This window comes from Homo sapiens, chromosome 11 (genome assembly GCF_000001405.40).
Source record: "Homo sapiens chromosome 11, GRCh38.p14 Primary Assembly".
NCBI lineage: Eukaryota > Metazoa > Chordata > Mammalia > Primates > Hominidae > Homo > Homo sapiens.
In genome coordinates, this window is record NC_000011.10 from 114,861,262 (window position 1) to 114,879,193 (window position 17,932).

The window sequence follows — 17,932 nt, forward strand, 5'->3', positions numbered from 1 at the left end:
TCTGTCCCTTACTGTCTTTGCCTCCAAAGAGAAGTTATCAGCAATGACTGCCTCACCCTCCTTCCTCTGTACTTCAAACTCTCTACCTTCATGCATCTTCTACTCTTCTCTCCTTTCTTGGAGAACAGAATGTTCTACTACCTGTCCAAAGAAAGCCCTTCTCCTGGGCTCCAGCTGTTTTACTCCACCAGTTCTTTCCACTTTCCCTCATATTGTCAAATACTCCTCACCTCTGCATCTTTCCCTTTAGACTGTTAACATGCTCAAGTCCCCCATATGCTAATAAGTGAAAACAAACAAAAGCACTTTCCTTGAACCCAGGTACCTCCTTGAATTATTAACTGCATCATTTATTCCCAGCTATTCTAAGTGCTATTTCCTCTCATCACCACCCAGCCAGCCATGAACATCTTTCTTTCTGGCTCCCATTACAAATAATTAATTCAAATTACTCCCTACGTAACTGAACTTTTCTTAATTGACATCTTCAAAGGTTCTTCTTAGTTCCGACTTTCTTTGACCTCTCTGCAGTGTATAATTGGCCACCACCTTTTGCAACTATCACTTCCCTTAGTTGGCATTACATTGCTTGATCACTTAATTTCTTCTTTTTAAAGTGGAGTCTTGCTCTGCTGCCCAGGCTGGAGTGCAGTGGCACAATCTCGGCTCACTGCAACCTTTGCTTCCCGGGTTCAAGCAATTCTCCTGCCTCAGCCTCCCGAGCAGCTGGGATTACAGGCCTGCGCCACCAGGCCTGGCTAATTTTTTGTATTTTTAGTAGAGATGGGGTTTTACCATGTTGGCCAGGCTGGTCTTGAGCTCCTGACCTCAGGTGATCTGCCCATCTCGGCCTCCCAGACTGCTGGGATTACAGGAGTGAGATACTGCGCCTGGCCCACTTATTTTTTTTCACTGAATTTTTAAAGCATTACGTCTTTAAAGGAACTCATCATATTATTTTTTATATTTTAGTTAATGTTCTTAACTTCCAGAAAAATGGTGTGTATGGTTTTTTTGATGTTGTTATTGTCACATGTTTTTAAAATGAAGTTCCAATACCATAAACAGTAGAATTACATGAGTTCCTGGCAAAAGAATGAAGCTTCCTGGGTGCCACTCTAGGCCTCCTAAATCACAATCCCTGGAGTTGATGGGTAAGAGACCCAGAAACACTTCTCTTTATGTATCCCCCACAAAGGCTCCCAGGAAACCTTAGTTTCATACCATGCCTGAGCCAGTTCCACAGGGGCAGGATGTACGAAATAGCTTTGGTGTCCCTCTAGGCCTTCTGGCCTAGTGCAGCTGGAAATTGTCATGAGTGATAAGAGAATTATTTCTCTTGGCATATACCATGGGTCTAGTTGAATTTTTTCTGCATTTAGAACCTTCCAGATTTGAGACAAAGACTGCTAGGTACATCTGGCTCACTGGGCTGCCTTCTCTGCAGCAGCCGTCTTTTTCCAAATACCTATCCTACATTGGTGAAGAGATTTCTGCTTAGTCTTGGTTTGATACATCTTAACACACATTATACAGAATTCCAGCATGCCTCCTAATAGAGCTTGCCTGAATTATGATAGTAATTTGGGTAAACACCTTATCACCACTCTCTGACTGTGAAGTTCTTAAGGGTAGACTAAACTAATTTCCAGGGGTTTGGCATATCCATTGTATTGCCTTATTTCATCCAGACAGATGAGGTCTGAGGTCTTTTGCCTCTCTCTCCCCATTCTAAAAAGTTCAGCTCCCTTTTCTCCTATCTATAACCTACACATTTTTCAACTCTTACTTTTTCCATAAAGCTCTTCCCAAGAAGTTTTAATGGTTATTGATCACTCCTCTTCTAAACTGCCCAGAGAACTTACAGTCTATTCCAAAAATGATCTTCAATTATATTCATTCTACTATATAAGGCAGTATGGCATAGTAGTTAAGCTTATGAGCTCTGGATCCAAGCAAACCAGATTCTGAAATTCAACTTCAACACTAAATAACAGTCTGAACTTAGCTCTGGGATTCAGTTCAACACCTATAAAATAGAAATCATATAATATATACCTCATGGTGTTTTTACGAGAGTTCAATGAAATAATGCATATAAAGCCCACAGCACAATGCTCAGGATATATTCAATGCTCAGGATATACTCAATAAATGCTAGCTTTCTAGAGCCATCGTGTAGAAGTCAGATTAGGCTAAGTTATGCTATGGTAACAAGTAAGCTCAGACATTACATCTTACAAAAGCACAGGGTTCTTTCTCACTTTCACGACACGTCTTTCCTAGCACAGTTAGGAGTCAACTTCACGTTGCTGTACTGCAGAAACTAGGCTGACAAAGGAGCTGTTACTGTAACATTGCCAGTCATCACAGTAAAGGGAAAAGAGGCTATGGTGAAGCAAGTACGGGCTCCTAGAGTTTCTGCCTGGAAGTGACACACATCACTTTCCCTTACCTTTCATTGGCCAAAGTCACAAGGCAAAGTCTGACTTCAATGGAGGAAGAAAAGAATAATTCTCCCTCAGGAAGGGGAGGGAAAGAAATAGTTATATGTCTTTCATTTATGTTCATTTTCCAATGTCAGTTATATGACTGACATATCTTTTGTACTCCTCAGAACCTAGCACATAGTAGGAAGTGAATACCTATTTTATTGATGGATAGTAGGTGTTCATCATGTCTCTACATTTTGAATTGAGTTGAGTGATTGAAGGAGAAATTCCTCAGTGATATATAGCAAGTGTCTAAAAATGTCAACTGATGAATTGACAGCAAAGGATCATAGATCCCTCTTTCCTTAAAACAAATGAAGCCATCTACCTGGCACATAGGCTTCACTTGAACATCTTCCAAGTCCGTATTTGCCTTAATATTTTCTTTTACAGTAATTTTTTACTTGATTTTCTACAAAATGTATGATGTTTCCACCATCTTTCCATTTAGATCCACAAATCCAGCACAAATGAAACTCTTTATTTCCTCTGGGTGCTGGCCAGCAATTAGGGCACAATGCCTTCTAGATATTTCAGGGATAAACATGTGGACTGGGCATCTGGGCACCCAGTAGATACAGCTTCTTGCTCCTGAAAATATGATTCCTTAAATAAATGTCAAAGGAGGTGTTGATAGTCCAAAGACACAAGTCTTTAAAGAAAATGAAACCTAATCCCCCAGGAAATTTTGAGTCTCTAATTATTCATTATTATCGATTATGTCTCCCTGGTTTTCTCCCTAACCTTGAGTACATTTCTTTCAAATCACTCTCAATCCTGAAACTTAGAGTCAAAATTCCTTCCTGGGGCATATTTATGGCTCCAGTGCTTCTGTGACTCTGTGACTGCACCAGATATTAATGTCCCTGGAGTCTTTCTTATGCCAACAGCAGATTAAGCCTCTATTCGGAGAATCTTTTGCTTCTCAAGAGTTTTCCTTCAGTCAGCAGTGCTCAGACATCTCACACAACCTAACTACCAAGTTTTTCCTGTCTCAGCACTAGAAAGAAATTTCCAGCGGGAAAAAGCTATCTCCTTTCAAGTCCCCTACTCATAATTTACCTTCTCCGTTTTCCATAGGGCAGAATCCCAAATGGGAATGAAAGTGCTCAAGTCACTTAATGCTACTGGTTTGGAGATGGGGTAGGGGGTGGGCAGGAGGCACATCAAAGAGCTTCCTGAAGTAAAAGGATGCCAACCTATTTACGAACTCACTCTTTCCTTCCTTTCTTCTTAGCGTTCTTCTTTCATTCTTATCAATATTTTCACTGAATTATGTGTAAGCCAAAATTTGAATTGAATCCCTTTAGCAACTAGCTCTTTTACAAGCTGCTTTTGATACAGACTGTCTGCTTTTGAAAGCTACATGCCTCTTTCCAATGCAAGCCTGTAGCAAAATATCTCACTATTTAAATGTACTTATAACTTACTTTCCATTACAAGTCAAGAGAAGTAAAATGAAGAATTTTCCACTTTGTTTTTTTACTATAATAGCTCCAGAGGTTAACATATTGCATGACACATATAAGGTGTCCAGTAAATAATAACAGGATGAAAGCCCGACATTCACTCCGCCTATTCCTGCATGGTGGTAAGCAGATACTGAATTCACACAAACTTCCTGAGTTCAGAACCAAGTTCCACACCTACTAGTTCTGTGATGTAACATTTTTTTCTGCCTTAGTTTTCTTACTTGTGAAATGGGGGAAAATACTACATGGCTCAATAAAAGTTCAGCTGCAGAAAGCATAAAACGTTCCAGGTATTTTAAGCGGAAAAGGATTGAACACAGGGAATCAGGTGCTTACAGAACTGTGGGATAATAGGAGGAGCAGGCTCTAGGCTCAGCCATTACAAACAAATTTTAAAGTACCACCACTGTACTGACCCACTAAGATAACTTTTGCATCTGACAGTGAGAAAGCTGGGGAAACAGGAGGTCACTGCCCAAATTTTTGAATTCAGGATCCCATCACCTTAGATGTAATCCAAGAATGAGAAAACCACTTGGAATTGCTGGCTCCAAGAACACCTGAAATGCAGCAGTCTGAAAGCCATCACCACAGCTGCCAACTCCAGGGTCCAACTGTTAGACCACCTGGATCCGTCCATTAGAAAAATGGGCTCACTTACCACTCTTTGTCTCCCCACTTAATTCAGTAAGGAGTTCAAGTTTCAACTCCTGATTGGATGAACCAAAATCACATTGACTAAAGCATCCCTGTAAAGCATTCTGGGAAGTCTAGTTTTCAGCTAGCTGCCGTAGTATTAGAAGTAATTCTAGAAGGGGTACAATGACCATTGATCAAGCCAGGCTGTAGTATGCCCACAGGATGGAGTGAAATTGTTTATGAAAAGTGCCTTGGCATAGTGCCTGGCATCTCCATAAATGTTAGTGGTTATTGTTTACCTAAGGAGGTCTATCCCATTAGCTTGGGTGAGGCATCCATACACATTTTGTAAGCACAACAGGCATAGAGAAACACATTTAACCAAGCAGTCCCATAAAATTCAACTCTGTTATTTTTGGTACTGGACTTTGCCAAAGCCCATGCAGCCATTTCCATGTCCCACATTCCTGCTTTCTTCAGATGACTGGAGATGAGGGCAAAACCTCCTTCCAGTCTCCTGGATAAACACTGCAACACTTTTGCAGAGGGCTACCCCACAGGACCTTCAGTTTGGCCAATTGCTTCAGGCTATAATTATCTATGGAATTCCCTCGCATGGCTCTGTCCTTTGTGCTTTTGGGGGAGTATACATAGGTGTGGGTCTTTCTCTTTAGTGGGGGATGCTCATGTCAATGATCATGTTCTCCTGTCTCCTAAATCATCTGTCCTTTCCCCTTCTGAGGTCAGTTCCAGTTTCCTTCCCTTCCTTTTTCCCTTCTTTAAGCAAATCCTCTGAGCACATTTCTTTCTTGTCAGAGAAGTCATTCCTCAATATTTTGGGTGAACCTTCTACATACCAGTTCCTATATTAGATCCTGTAGATCAACGGTATTGAAGCCCTCAAGGAACTTACCTTTTACATAGAAAGACCCATGTGATGCTCTAAGAACTCAAAATAGAGGGATCTACTTCATATTTGGCTGGGGTCATGAAATATATCTCAGAGTATAAAAATATCAACTGAGGTTTGAGTGGAAAAGGATGAGTAGGAGTTAGCCAAGTCAAGGGAGTGCAGGGGATTAAAAGGGTATTCCATAGAAAGAAAGATGTATACACAAAGATCCTTTCTTTCCCCAATAGATTAGTGGTCAAAAGATAGATTTTTGAGACAAGGGAGTCAAGTTTCTGTTGTTCCACTTATTAGTTACATAGCAATCCCATCTGGCCAGTGTCTGCAGTTGAATGCAGTATTGGTGAGATTGTCAAGCCAGGAGCCCTGACTTGCCGTGGCTAAGTTGTGAGCAGATAAAACAATCCAGACCAATCAGATACTGTACCTGGAATTTGAATCTTGGGTGGATTGAAAGAAAGACTAAAAAGGCACAAGTCCATTTATCACAATGGTAATAGGCTCTAAATCATCCATTATTTTTTGATACTTAGTTTCTGTCCTTTCTGAGGTGGTATTTTTAGGTTATTTTCTCAATTCAGTGAGCTATCCCACACTTCCTGATAACTTTCATTTTTGCCTGAGTTTGCCTCTGTGGCTTGCAACTTAGAAATCTTATGGGACAGAGGAGGGAGATCATGGGCCTTTCTAGGAATTTCCAGACATACTTCTATGGGCCATGGTATGGGAATTTGAGACAATCTTAGCTGGATTTGGGGGGAGCAGAATGATGAATAAATTAACATCTGTTAATACATTTATGTCTTAGAAAAAAAGCCTGGTGGGAGATACACTAACATAGACACTTTGCATGGTGGGATTACAAGTGATTTTTATTTTATTCATTATGTCTTTTGATATATTCCAGAATTTCTATAATAAATCGCAATGGGAAAAATACTAATTAGGACATGGTAAGAGCCAGACATCATGGCTCATGCCTGTAATCGCAGCTACTCAGGAGGCTGAGGCAGAACATCACTTGAGGCCATGAGTTCAAGGCCAGCCTGAGGCCTGAGAAACACAGCGAGATCCTCTCTCTTAAAAAAAAGATTTTAAAAATTAGCTGGCCACAGTGATGCATGCCTATAGTCTCAGCTACACAGGAGGCTGAGACAGGGAGGGCTAAGGCTTCAGCCCAGGAGTTTGAGGCTGCAGTGAGCTATGATTGCGCCACTGCACTGTAGCCTGGGGGATACAGTAAGACCCTGCCTCCAAAAAAACAAAACAAAACAAACCATGGTAAAATACATAACTACCTCCCAAGACTGCTGTGAGAGCCAAATTATATAACATGTGTGAAAACCTCTGAGAAATATATGGGGTGATTATCGATACATCCTTCTATGTTCACAGTGGGTGCTATTTTCAAAGTTCATCCTGGGCAAGCAAGCCCACCTAGAGACAGCCTTGCTGATTAGGCAGAGATGGCTGGGATGCTTTCTCCATTCTCCTACCACGCTCTGCAAGTGATCCTCAGCACTGGTGCCTCTTCGGCAGCATAGTTGCTTCCTAGGGGGCTGACACAGAGCTAACAGGTAGAAGCTTCTGTAGCACTGAGGAACTGATGCTACCTCTGGGAGTTGCACCACAGTATTCCTACTGATTCTTGAAAGAGACACATGGAAGCTTGGAGAAGCCTCCCAGAGCCACTCACAGCCAACAGAGGCTTCCCTGGACTCCTGCACACCAGCCTCCAGCACCCAGTATGACACAGCTGGGACAATTCTCTGTATCACAGGGCCAGGCTCTTTGGGTCAGCATTGGCCACAAGGTGAGCACTTGGAGCCCTCACAGTGAGTCGTCAAGGCTTGGCAACACACAGAGAAGGTCCTCTACTCTGGTGAGGTCCTAGGAACAGTTGCCACCTACCCTAAGCCCTGATAAGGATCTGGGGAGGCCGTCAGTTTTGACAGGGTGAAGCTCCCTCTGCAATGGAAACCAGTGTGAGACTCTGGTAACTTTCCACCCACCTTTTGAAGTATGGACATCCTTGAGTACTCTGGGCAAAATTATCCAAGATGGCTACGGCTAATGTGCAGGACTTATCAGCAACCAATTATTCCTAAGGACTATTCAGAGACCTTCCACTGATAAGTAGGTGGCTCAGCTCAAGTTCAAATCCATCTCTTTTATCTAATACTTCCTTAGACCTTGAAGAAAAATTGTCATCTTACTTGATTTTCGTGCTACTTTGTGCATACTGTATTTAAAGCATTTATCATACTCTGTAAATATTATATATATTTTTATAATATTTTATAATAATTATATATTATACATGTTATATATTGTGTTATATATTATACTAATTACATATTATAAATATATACTATACATAAATATTGTATATTATAATTATATATTATACATAAATATATAATTATATATAAACATACATTATAATTACACATTATACAAAAATATGCATTATAATTATCTATTATACATAAATATTATATAATAATCATATATTATACATAAATATATGATAATCATATATTATATATAAATATATATATTTACAGTGTGATAAATGCTTTAAATACAGCATTTTAATTGTGATAAATGTTTTATTGTGATAATGCTTTATATATACATTTAGAGACAGGGTCTTGCTATGTTGCTCAGGCTGGTCTTGAACTCCTGGCCTCAATATATAAATATATATATATAAATCTCTCTATATATATACTGCCTATATATTTATATACGTTGCCTATATATACACATATACACATATAAATATATACACATACACATATACATACATATATACATATATTTATTAAAAATATATATATATATCATCTCCTTATCTTTACCCAGAAGGCTATAAACTCCTAGGGACAAGGAATAAACATTGTCCACCTGTCATAGTCTCTGGCAAGTAATGGCCTTAGTCAGTGCCTAAGAAGTAAATTATTTCTTCACATCTATTCATTCAACAAATATGTATGAAATATCTACTCTGGGCCAGGCACTGTACTGACCATGGAGGACACAGGGTGGATGAGAAAAACCAGCCTCCATGGAGCTTACCTTCTAGCAGGAGACAGAGGAGCACAAATATATTGTCATATAATGTCAGATGTCAGGGAATGCCCCAAAGATACATAGTGCAGAGTGGGAGGAAGGAAGCTCTGTTTTAGATGTGAGTGGCCAGGAGATGGTCACATTCACACAGAGGCCTACGTGAAGTGCGGGAATGAGCTGCTCTGAGATGGGGACTAAGGGCATTGCTGGCAGAGGGGAAACAAGAATGAAGGCCCGTCCTACGCAGGGAGCAGTCCTGATGTATCTCAGGACCAGAATGTATCTTTAGGCAGCTGGAAGGAGAATAGGAGAGTGAGAGGAGGTGAGATTAAGGGGACAGATGGTGCAGGGTCTAGCCTGCTATGAGAGGAAGCTGGATTCTATTCTGAGGGAGAAGACAAGCCACTGAAGTCTTCAAGTAGGGGAATGATGTGATCTACTTTGTTTTAATTCTGCCACATGAGAATTAATTCAATAGGATCTAGAGGGGAAACAGTGAGAGTGGTTAGGAAGTGCTTCCTAGACCAAAAAGATGTTGATGGCTTATGACTTGGGTGGTCACGCCTTGAACTGCAGAGATAGGAAATGTAGTCAGGTCTAGGATACAGTTGACTGGCTGTTTTCAAGCTGCGAGAACTAGGCGGGCTCTTAGCTAGAAAGGAGGTTAGTGCTGAAACTAACAATGTTCACTTCCCAGCAATATTATGGAAATCTGGGCCAGGCATGACATATACAGGATCACAGCAGACAGACTGGTGGGAGCAGAGCAGACAGACCTGTGGGCAGGCCCTGGGTATCTGGCTGTTGCCTGGAGAGAGGTGGGGAGGGAAGAAGAGGGAAGCTAGAGGGCACCATGAGAACTTAGCCCAGGGTCCACACTGCCCCACCTCACATTCTCCCTAAAGCCCCTCACCAGGTGGTACGGGGGCTGGATTCTGGCAACAAAAAGTGCTGAGACCTTCACCATGGCCCCAGCAGCTGCTGTTTCTGCCGGTGACCCTATCCGTAGGCTGAGGACAAGAGAAAAGGAAATCATAGCAGGAATAAGACCCCACCACCACTCCCCAGCCAGGTCTTGTTCTCCAGCCTGCTGATAGAGGCAGGAATGCAGAGGTACATCCTTGGGGACACAGGATACCTTCTGTCATCTCCTGAGCTCTCTACAAGCAGCTGGCTCTACAGTTTTCCTGTGGGCCCTGGCCCCGTGCTGGCCACCAAACTTCAGAGCTGAGCACTTCTCTCTGAACCAAGGCCCTACAGCTCCTGGGTGTCACTTTTATTTACTCGCTGTTACCTATGCTGCCAGGGGAATGGCCACTAAAGTGCTCACATAAGTATCTGGGGAGATTTATTCCACTTCCATCTTAGTGCTCATTAAAAAGCATGTAAAAAAGGATGCTGGGAGGTGATCCAGAGCTGATTGAGCCAACAGAGTGCAGAACACTGGCACAGAAACTGCCCGGGGGGGATTTATGACCACCCAACCAAGGCCAGATGGCTCTGCCCAGCAGTCAGGGTCCTCGGAAATCTGGACGCATGTCCTCAGCACCTTCCCACACCCACCCTGCCTTATGACACCTCCTTTACCAAAACCTTTTTCTCCCAACCAGCCATTGTCTCCACATTCTAACTCCCACGCCACCCTGCACCTTTTCAGCTGAAGTGTCCGCAGCTCCCCCAAATCTTCTTGCAACCTGCACATTACTCCTGCTGTTAGCAAGGTCTCTCCCTAGTCTGGCTCGTGTAAAACGCCCTGTGGTAGGAAGAATTACGGCCACCCAGAGATGTCCACACCCTACTCTCTGTAACCTGTGAATATGTTACCTTTCTTGGCAAATGGGACTTTGTGGGTGATTAATAAAGACGTTGAGATGGGGAGGTCATCCCAGTTTATCAAGGTGGGCCCAATGTAATCACAATCTCCTAAGAGAGCCAGAGAGTGGGTCAGAACAATGAGCTGGGGCCGGGCACGGTGGCTCATTCCTGTAATCCCAGCAGTTTGGGAGGCCAAGGCAGGAGGATTGCTTGAGCTCAAGAGTTCAAGACCAGCCTGGACAACAGAGTGAGAGACCCCTGTCTCTACAAAAAATTTTTAAAAATAGCCAGGCATGGTGGTGTGTGCCTGTAGTCACAGCTACTTGGGAGGCTGAGGTGGGAGGATCCCTTGAGCCCAGGAGCCATGATCATATCACTCCAGCAGGACTCTAGCCTGGGTGACAGAGTGAGACCCTTTTTCAAAAAAAAAAAAATAATAATAAATAAGAGAGAGAACCAGAGGTTGGAATGATGTGTTCGAAGCTGGGGCAAGGGGCCATGAGCTAAGGGATGCAGGCAGCTTCTAGACCCTGGGGAAGGCAAGGAAACAAGTTCATCCCTGAAGCCTCCAGAAGGAATGCAGCTGCACCAACACCTTGATTTTAGACTTCTGACTTCTGAGAATGTAAGGAAAGAGATGTGAATTGCTCTAAGCCACTAAGTCCATGGTCATTTGCTGTAACAGCCATAGGATACTAATGTGTTCTCTCTTTTCTGAGTGTGCTTCTGCTACTCATTTTGCTACTTCATCACATTCTGCCTCATGTGGTTCTGCAGACTGAGCCCTTGTCTCCTCAACTGGCCTGGATGCCCCAGGAGTCCAGGGAACACAACTTGCAAAGTGTTAGCACATCATCAAGGCTTAGCACAGCACGTAAGAAGCATTCGGCAGATACCTGGAGACGGGACCCGATCAAATGGGAAGAAGTGCCAGGTAAGAACGGGAGACTTCAAGCCGCCTACAGATGCACACATTGCACCTTCCTCCCTGCCTGGCTTGCGGAACATGTACTTACGGTTGAACATTTTGTTAGGGCTTCCGTGGTCCAGGCACAGTGCCAGGTCTTAGGTATATGATGGAAAGCTGGACAGGTGGTGCCCCTCTTACAGGAAGCAGACAGGCTAGTGGGAAAGACAAAGAGACAATATTAATGAACTGTGCTGTGGTGAGCTATGGAAGCACCTGGAAGAGGCAACTAAATTGGTCTATGGGGTCATGGAGGGCTCCTCGGAGGCAGTGACTTTTACAAAGAGATCAGAAGAATAGATAAGAGTTAGGTAAAGAGAGCTAAGAGGATGATGAGATGGGCACAGAAGAAATAATGTGCAAGACAACACAGACGAAAATTTGTAGACACTCATATTCACAGCAGCATTTTTCACAATAGCCAAAAAGTAGAAGCAACCCATCTCCATTGACAGATGAATGAAGAAAATGTGGTATAATGGATTATTATTATTATTATTATTATTATTATTGAGATAGAGTGTTGCTTAGTCACCCAGGCTGGATTGCAGTGGCGCGATCTTGGCTCACTGTAACCTCTGCCTCCTGGGTTCAAGTGATTCTTCTGCCTCAGCATCCCAAATAGCTGTGATTACAGGCACGCACCACCAACACCCAGCTAGTTTTTGTATCTTTAGTAGAGACGGGGTTTCACTAGCCAGGCTGGTCTCGAACTCCTGACCTCAGGTGATCCACCTGCCTCTGCCTCCCATAGTGCTGGGATTACAGGAGTGAGCCACCATGCCCGGCAATATAATGGAATACTATTCAGCCTTAAAAGGGAAGGAAGCTCTGCTTTATGCTACAATAGGAATAAACCCTGAGGACATTGTGTTCAGTGAAATAAGGCAGACACAAAAGAACAAATACCACATGATTCTCCTTATATGAGAATAGTCAAATTTATAGGAATTTATAGAAAGTAGAGTGGTGGTTGCCAGGAGTTGGGGAAAGGGAGGAATGAGGAGTTAGTGTTTAATGTGTCTAAAATTTCAGTTTGGTGTGATGAAAAATTTCTGAGGATGGATGATGATGATAGTTGCACAACAAAAATGAATGTACTCAATACCACTGAAATAGGCTCTTAGAATAGATAAAATGGTAAATTTTATTATATATATATGTTGCCATAATTTAAAAAAATAATTAATATTTCAAAAGGACATATAATCAAAGGAAGAGGCTGTCACCTATGGACACAAATAACTGTAATCATCCTTAAGCATCTTCCACCTATAAAGATAAATAAGACCTGCTTCCTGTCTTGGAAGCCTGGTAGCTTAGGAGGGAGAAATCACATTAGAAAAAGGCAACTTCAGCTTGGAAGGCCGCAATTCAACCATTGTAAGAGTCTTACTTGTATCCACCAAGGCCTCAGTCTTCCTTACTTCTGGTGTCTCTATAGAAGTACCCCCCAGCTGGGCGCGGTGGCTCACACCTGTAATCCCAGCACTTTGGGGTGCCGAGGCGGGTAGATCACCTGAGGTCAGGAGTTCAAGACCAGCCTGGCCAACATGTTAAAACCCCGTCTCTACTAAAAATACAAAAATTAGCCAGATGTGCTTGCATGCGCCTGTAGTCCCAGCTACTCGGAAGGCTGAGACAGGAGAATCGCTTGAACATGGGAGGGGGAGGCTGCAGTGAGCTGAAATCAAGCCACTGCACTCCAACCTGGGTGAGACAGAGTGAGACTCTGTCTCAAAAAATAAATAAATAAAAGAAGTACCCCCAAAGAGCTGGGGCGCATCACACACAAGCCATGCTGGTGACTGTTGATCTGTGTGGTCTTGCCCTTACTGCTCGGTAGATCTCTGGAATTTGGATGCCTCCAGCAGTATTAGACAGTAAAGCCCATGCAGCAAATTGCCGGCTTGCACACAGCTCTGGGTGGCCCTAGGGCAGTTGCACTCTCTTCAGTGGTGCAGTTATCAATTTCTATAATGTCTCTGACTGCTGAACTCCACTGATCACCTCTCTCTATAACTGGTGGGAAAATCAACACTCTTATGGCCCAGCCCCTTCAGAGGGGGCCCAGAGCAGAGGGGCTGGGACACGTAATCACTCAGGAGTCCTGTCTCCTCCTTACTCTCACAGGAGGCACAGCTTCACTAGAGGAGGTGGAAGGTGAGAAGATGCAGATGGCTTTCAGTGCAGCCTCACTCTGTTCCAGGGTCCTTGTCCTCTCCACACTTCAGACCCTGGGGTTGCACCTAGCTTACTCTGGCAGACTCATTACTCACTTATGGAGATTTCTTTCTATAAGTTTCCATTTTTTTCTTCTTTCTGTGGGGACCCCCTCCCCATTCAGTCCATCAGATGTATCTATGAAATTCTGAATTCCAAATAAAGGTTCAGATTATTTCCCATGGAGCCTCTGGGCCCCAGAGAAATCATAGGATGTTGCCTGACACCTGTAACAGGGTCCCTGAACATTTCGTGACAGAGTGATTTTCTCTGCCCAGAGCACAGAGAAGATCTCTAGGGGAGTGTTGCTTAACTTCAAAGTTGTCATATTCTAGTCTCAGCCAAGCCATCCTTTTACACCAATCTGTACTACAATCTTATAAGTGTTTTCCTAGCACTTTTGAATTACATGGTACAGGGGAACAGAGGCGGGAGAGATTGATTCTGTCTAGGGGAGGTTGTTCAAGAGAAAGGAGTAGGGACAGGGTGATACCAACACTCCTTGACATCAATTGAACAGTATGCATGACACCACAGAGCCCTGCTGTCATGCACCTCATTATTGTACACACTCATACGCTCTGCAGGCAAAACCCTTCCTGAATACAATGAGGGCATGCCACCAGAAGGAGACAGCATGGGCTGGTGGGAGAGTGTTGGAAGTGGAGCCAGAGGACCTGGATCACTTCCGGACACCACCCAGTTCCTTCATCCTCTCAGCACTCGGATGTGACTCTCTCCAGGAGAACACATCCCCACTAATATCTTCACTGCCTTCCTTTCAAGACCACCATGACTCAGAGGAAACACTTTCAGTGAAAATGCTTCCAAAATTTTCTAATGCTTTTACAAATATGAAATAAAAATAAAAGGAATAACAAAACAATAACAGAATATTCATTATAAAAAAGAATAATGATGAAAAGCTCAGCATAGATGAGTGGGCCTATGACATGGCTGATTACCGTCTTTCAGTCAGCACATTGTGGATATTTGTCAGGTTCAGAGAAGCCTGAGTTTTGCAGAAGAAGGTCTGAAATCCATATATTAAATGCCCATTTGGATGGTGGGTCAGGAAGAGCAAAGGATGTGTCTCACACATAGCTGTCAGGTGTCCTGAGTGACATGAACATCAACTCATTGCCCCATAACTTGAAAACTGCCTACCTTACAAAAGTAAGGTGAAAAAAAAAAAAACACCAAATATATAGAAAATATATATAGAAAAACCCCACCAAAATACATAGAAGGCCAGTTCTAAATCCTAACACTGGGCTTCTAGAACAGGGCTCTAGATAGAATATACAGAAGGCCAGTTCTAAATCCTAACACTGGGCTTCCAGAACAGGGTTCCTCTAAGAGCAAGGACATGCTCCCCCATCCCCTACCCCTCACCCCCAACACACAGGCTTGAATCCCTCCTCTCTAGTTTCATCCCCAGATGTCCTGTCCAGGAGAGACTGCCCCCACTCACTGCACTGTAATGCAGAAATCAAAGGAGGCTACTGGGAGGGAAGGAGACTCACACCGTACTCAGCTAAGTGAGAGAGTTGTTAACAGGGAGGTCGGGAAGGTCAGGTAAGCTGAGCAGGCCCCGCGTTGCCATGGAATTTGTTGAATTAGACACGGAACAAGGAGATGCTGGTAAGATGAGGTGACCCTGGCTGCCTGAGTTACACACTCTCCCTGCCAAAGGTGCACATATAGAGCTCTGCTAGAAAATCACCTGGCCTGGACTTCTATTTTCGCTTATGGGGATTTGGGTTCTGGGGCTGGGGACAGGTGGGCTGTCCTACGTCCAGGGGGAGGAGGGAGAAGATCCAGATGGAGAGCCTAGCCCAAGTTCCTATACAGCATCTGGGTGGAAATGGGGAAATCATGGCAAGTGGGTTGAAACTAAGAGTCAGGAGCAGGCTAGGGCCTGTGTGAACAGAAGCAAGACTGGGGAGGTGTGGACAACTGGTGAGGGATGCACTGCAAGCTGTGCCTCTGCTGACTGTCGGCTGCAAAGTGTGGGGCTGGGTAGGGGTGGCTTAGGGTGCAAAGTCCAAGTATCAGGGCCCTTCTGCACCCTTGAAACCACTTACATACATTTTTAGTTTTCTCTTTTGCACCACTCCTACCCCAACCTCCTCATAGAAGATTTCCCTTGCAGCTGATCTAGTGAGTTTTCACAATTAGCACCCATTTCTCAGATCTGCTTGGCAAATGGGCCTATAGTTGGATGTGGAACTCATCCTCTGGAAGATAAATCAGTTCCTATATGGGTGCAACCTCATGCTTTATCACCTTCCTTCAACATGCAATCCCACAGGCAGGCTTTTCATGTAAGTAGCTGGAAGTGTTAGTACCCGAATACTTGCCCAGGTTTTCATGGAAGAAGAAGAACGACTAAGCTGCCTCTAGAAAAAATTTGGGTTGATAAAAGCCCATAATGACACTTGATTCAAGGCATGTATTGTGTTTTATTATTGCTGATATTAAAGCACAATAAGCAATATTCTAGTTAATTTATCATTGGCCTTTACCTTATACTTTTGCAATATTTGCAACTTTTCCCTCCAGTCCCCAGAGAAGAATAGCAAGTATTTTACTTTATTAAGCACTTGTGGACAAGATTCAGAAGTATAGCACATAGCATTTAGTAACTTCCCAGTGTTAGGATTTAGAACTGGCCTTCTATATATTTTGGTGGTTTTTTTTTTTTTCATGTTACTTTTGTAAGGTAGGCAGTTTTTCTGGTCTAGGCATTTATTCCTTTTCCAAAAATCCAATTTATTCATCCAGTTGCTTTTTGAGCATATGTGATACACCAAGTGCTCTTCTAAGTACTGAAATTACAGTAAAACTAAAACCATCCAAAATCCTTGTCCTCATTTAGTATTCAGTCTACTGGGGAGGCTGACAATAAACAGGGTAAATAAGTAAAAGGCAAATAATTAAAATATATAGTGTTAGGTGGTGGTAAGTTATTTAGAAAAAAATAAAGGAGGGAGTGGGGTTATAAAACTTCAAGGGTGGGAAATAAAATTTGAGATCTTGGTCTGAAAAAAAAAACAAAACTTTACTAAAAAAGCAACATTTGAATGAAGACCTAAAAGGAAGTGAAGGAGCTGGCCATGTGGTTGCCTGGAAAGAGAACATTCTACATAGAGAAGCAAGTGCAAAGGCCCTGAAGCAGGAATGTGCTTGGAATATTTAAGAAACAGCAAGGAAATCAGTGTGGCTGGAGCAGAATTAATAAGCAGAGAGCAGAAGGAGACAAGCTGGATCTGGCTGAGCTCTGTGGGTCAGTGTGAGGCTTTCACCCTGAGGTGTCTGGGAAGCATCAGAGGGTTTGAGCAGGATGGCTTTGACAGCTGTATTGAAAACAGAGCATAAGGGACCAAGAACAGAGTCAGAGAAAATAATGAGGAGGCTATTGCAATAATTCAGGAGAGAGGTAATGGTGGCTGGGACCAAGGGAGTGAACATGGGGGTGAAAAAAAATGGTTAAGTTCTGGATATAGTTTGAAAATAGGACTGAGAGGCCTTTTTGGCAACTGAGATACGGTAAGTGGGAGAAAGGGGAGAGTCAAAGACAGCACCAAGTCTTTGAGCCAGAACAACTGGAAGAATGGCATTGCCATAAATTGAGATGCAGGACAGCCTGGTTGGGAGGGAAGATTGGAAGCTTGTGTTTGGACAGGTTGGTTTTGTGAAGCCTGTTATAGATCCAGTAGGTCAAGGAGGCATAGATGAATATGTGGATCTGGAACAGAGGAGGAAAAATGCATGGGGATGCATTGAAAGCCACAAGACTAGATGGAATCTCCCACGCTATGTGCATGTAGGTAGAAAAGAGAAGAACTCCAAAGACTGAGCTCTAATGCACTCCAACATTTAGAGGTTGGGTAGATCAAGAAGAATCAATGAAAGTGACTTTAGACAAAGCCACCTGAAAGTTTAAAAGAAAACTAGTGAATATGGTGCCCTGGAAGCCAAGTGAGGAAAGTGTTCAAGGAGTGATTGACTGGGTCAAGTGTCACTGTTTATAGATCAAATAGTAGGTGGAGCAAGAAATTGCCATTATGTTTAAGGGGATCATTAGAGGTTTGATGGAGTGGTAGGAGAAAAAAAATCTCCTCACTGGAGTGGGTTAAACAGAGAATGGGGGAAAGAAATTGTGGTAAGTGAGGACAGACAACTTTTCAGAGTTTTGCCTTAAGGGAAAGAGAGAAATGAAGAGGACTGCAAGAGAAGTGGGATCTAGGAGGATTTTTTTTGTTAATATTGGATAAATTATGACATATATGAATGCTGATAAATGATCCAGAACAAAGGGGAAAGATGATACTTC

The 17,932-nt window shown here is 43.0% G+C and overlaps 1 long non-coding RNA gene across 1 annotated transcript in view; it reads right to left on the bottom strand.

Moving 5' to 3' along the window:
* Nucleotides 1-11,505, bottom strand: part of LOC105369506 (uncharacterized) — a 95,796-nt gene extending 84,291 nt beyond the window's left edge. The window contains exon 1 of the long non-coding RNA XR_948042.3: nucleotides 11,420-11,505. This is a non-coding gene — a long non-coding RNA (uncharacterized LOC105369506). The remainder of the gene's footprint in view (nucleotides 1-11,419) is intronic.
* Nucleotides 11,506-17,932: the final 6,427 nt, after the last annotated feature.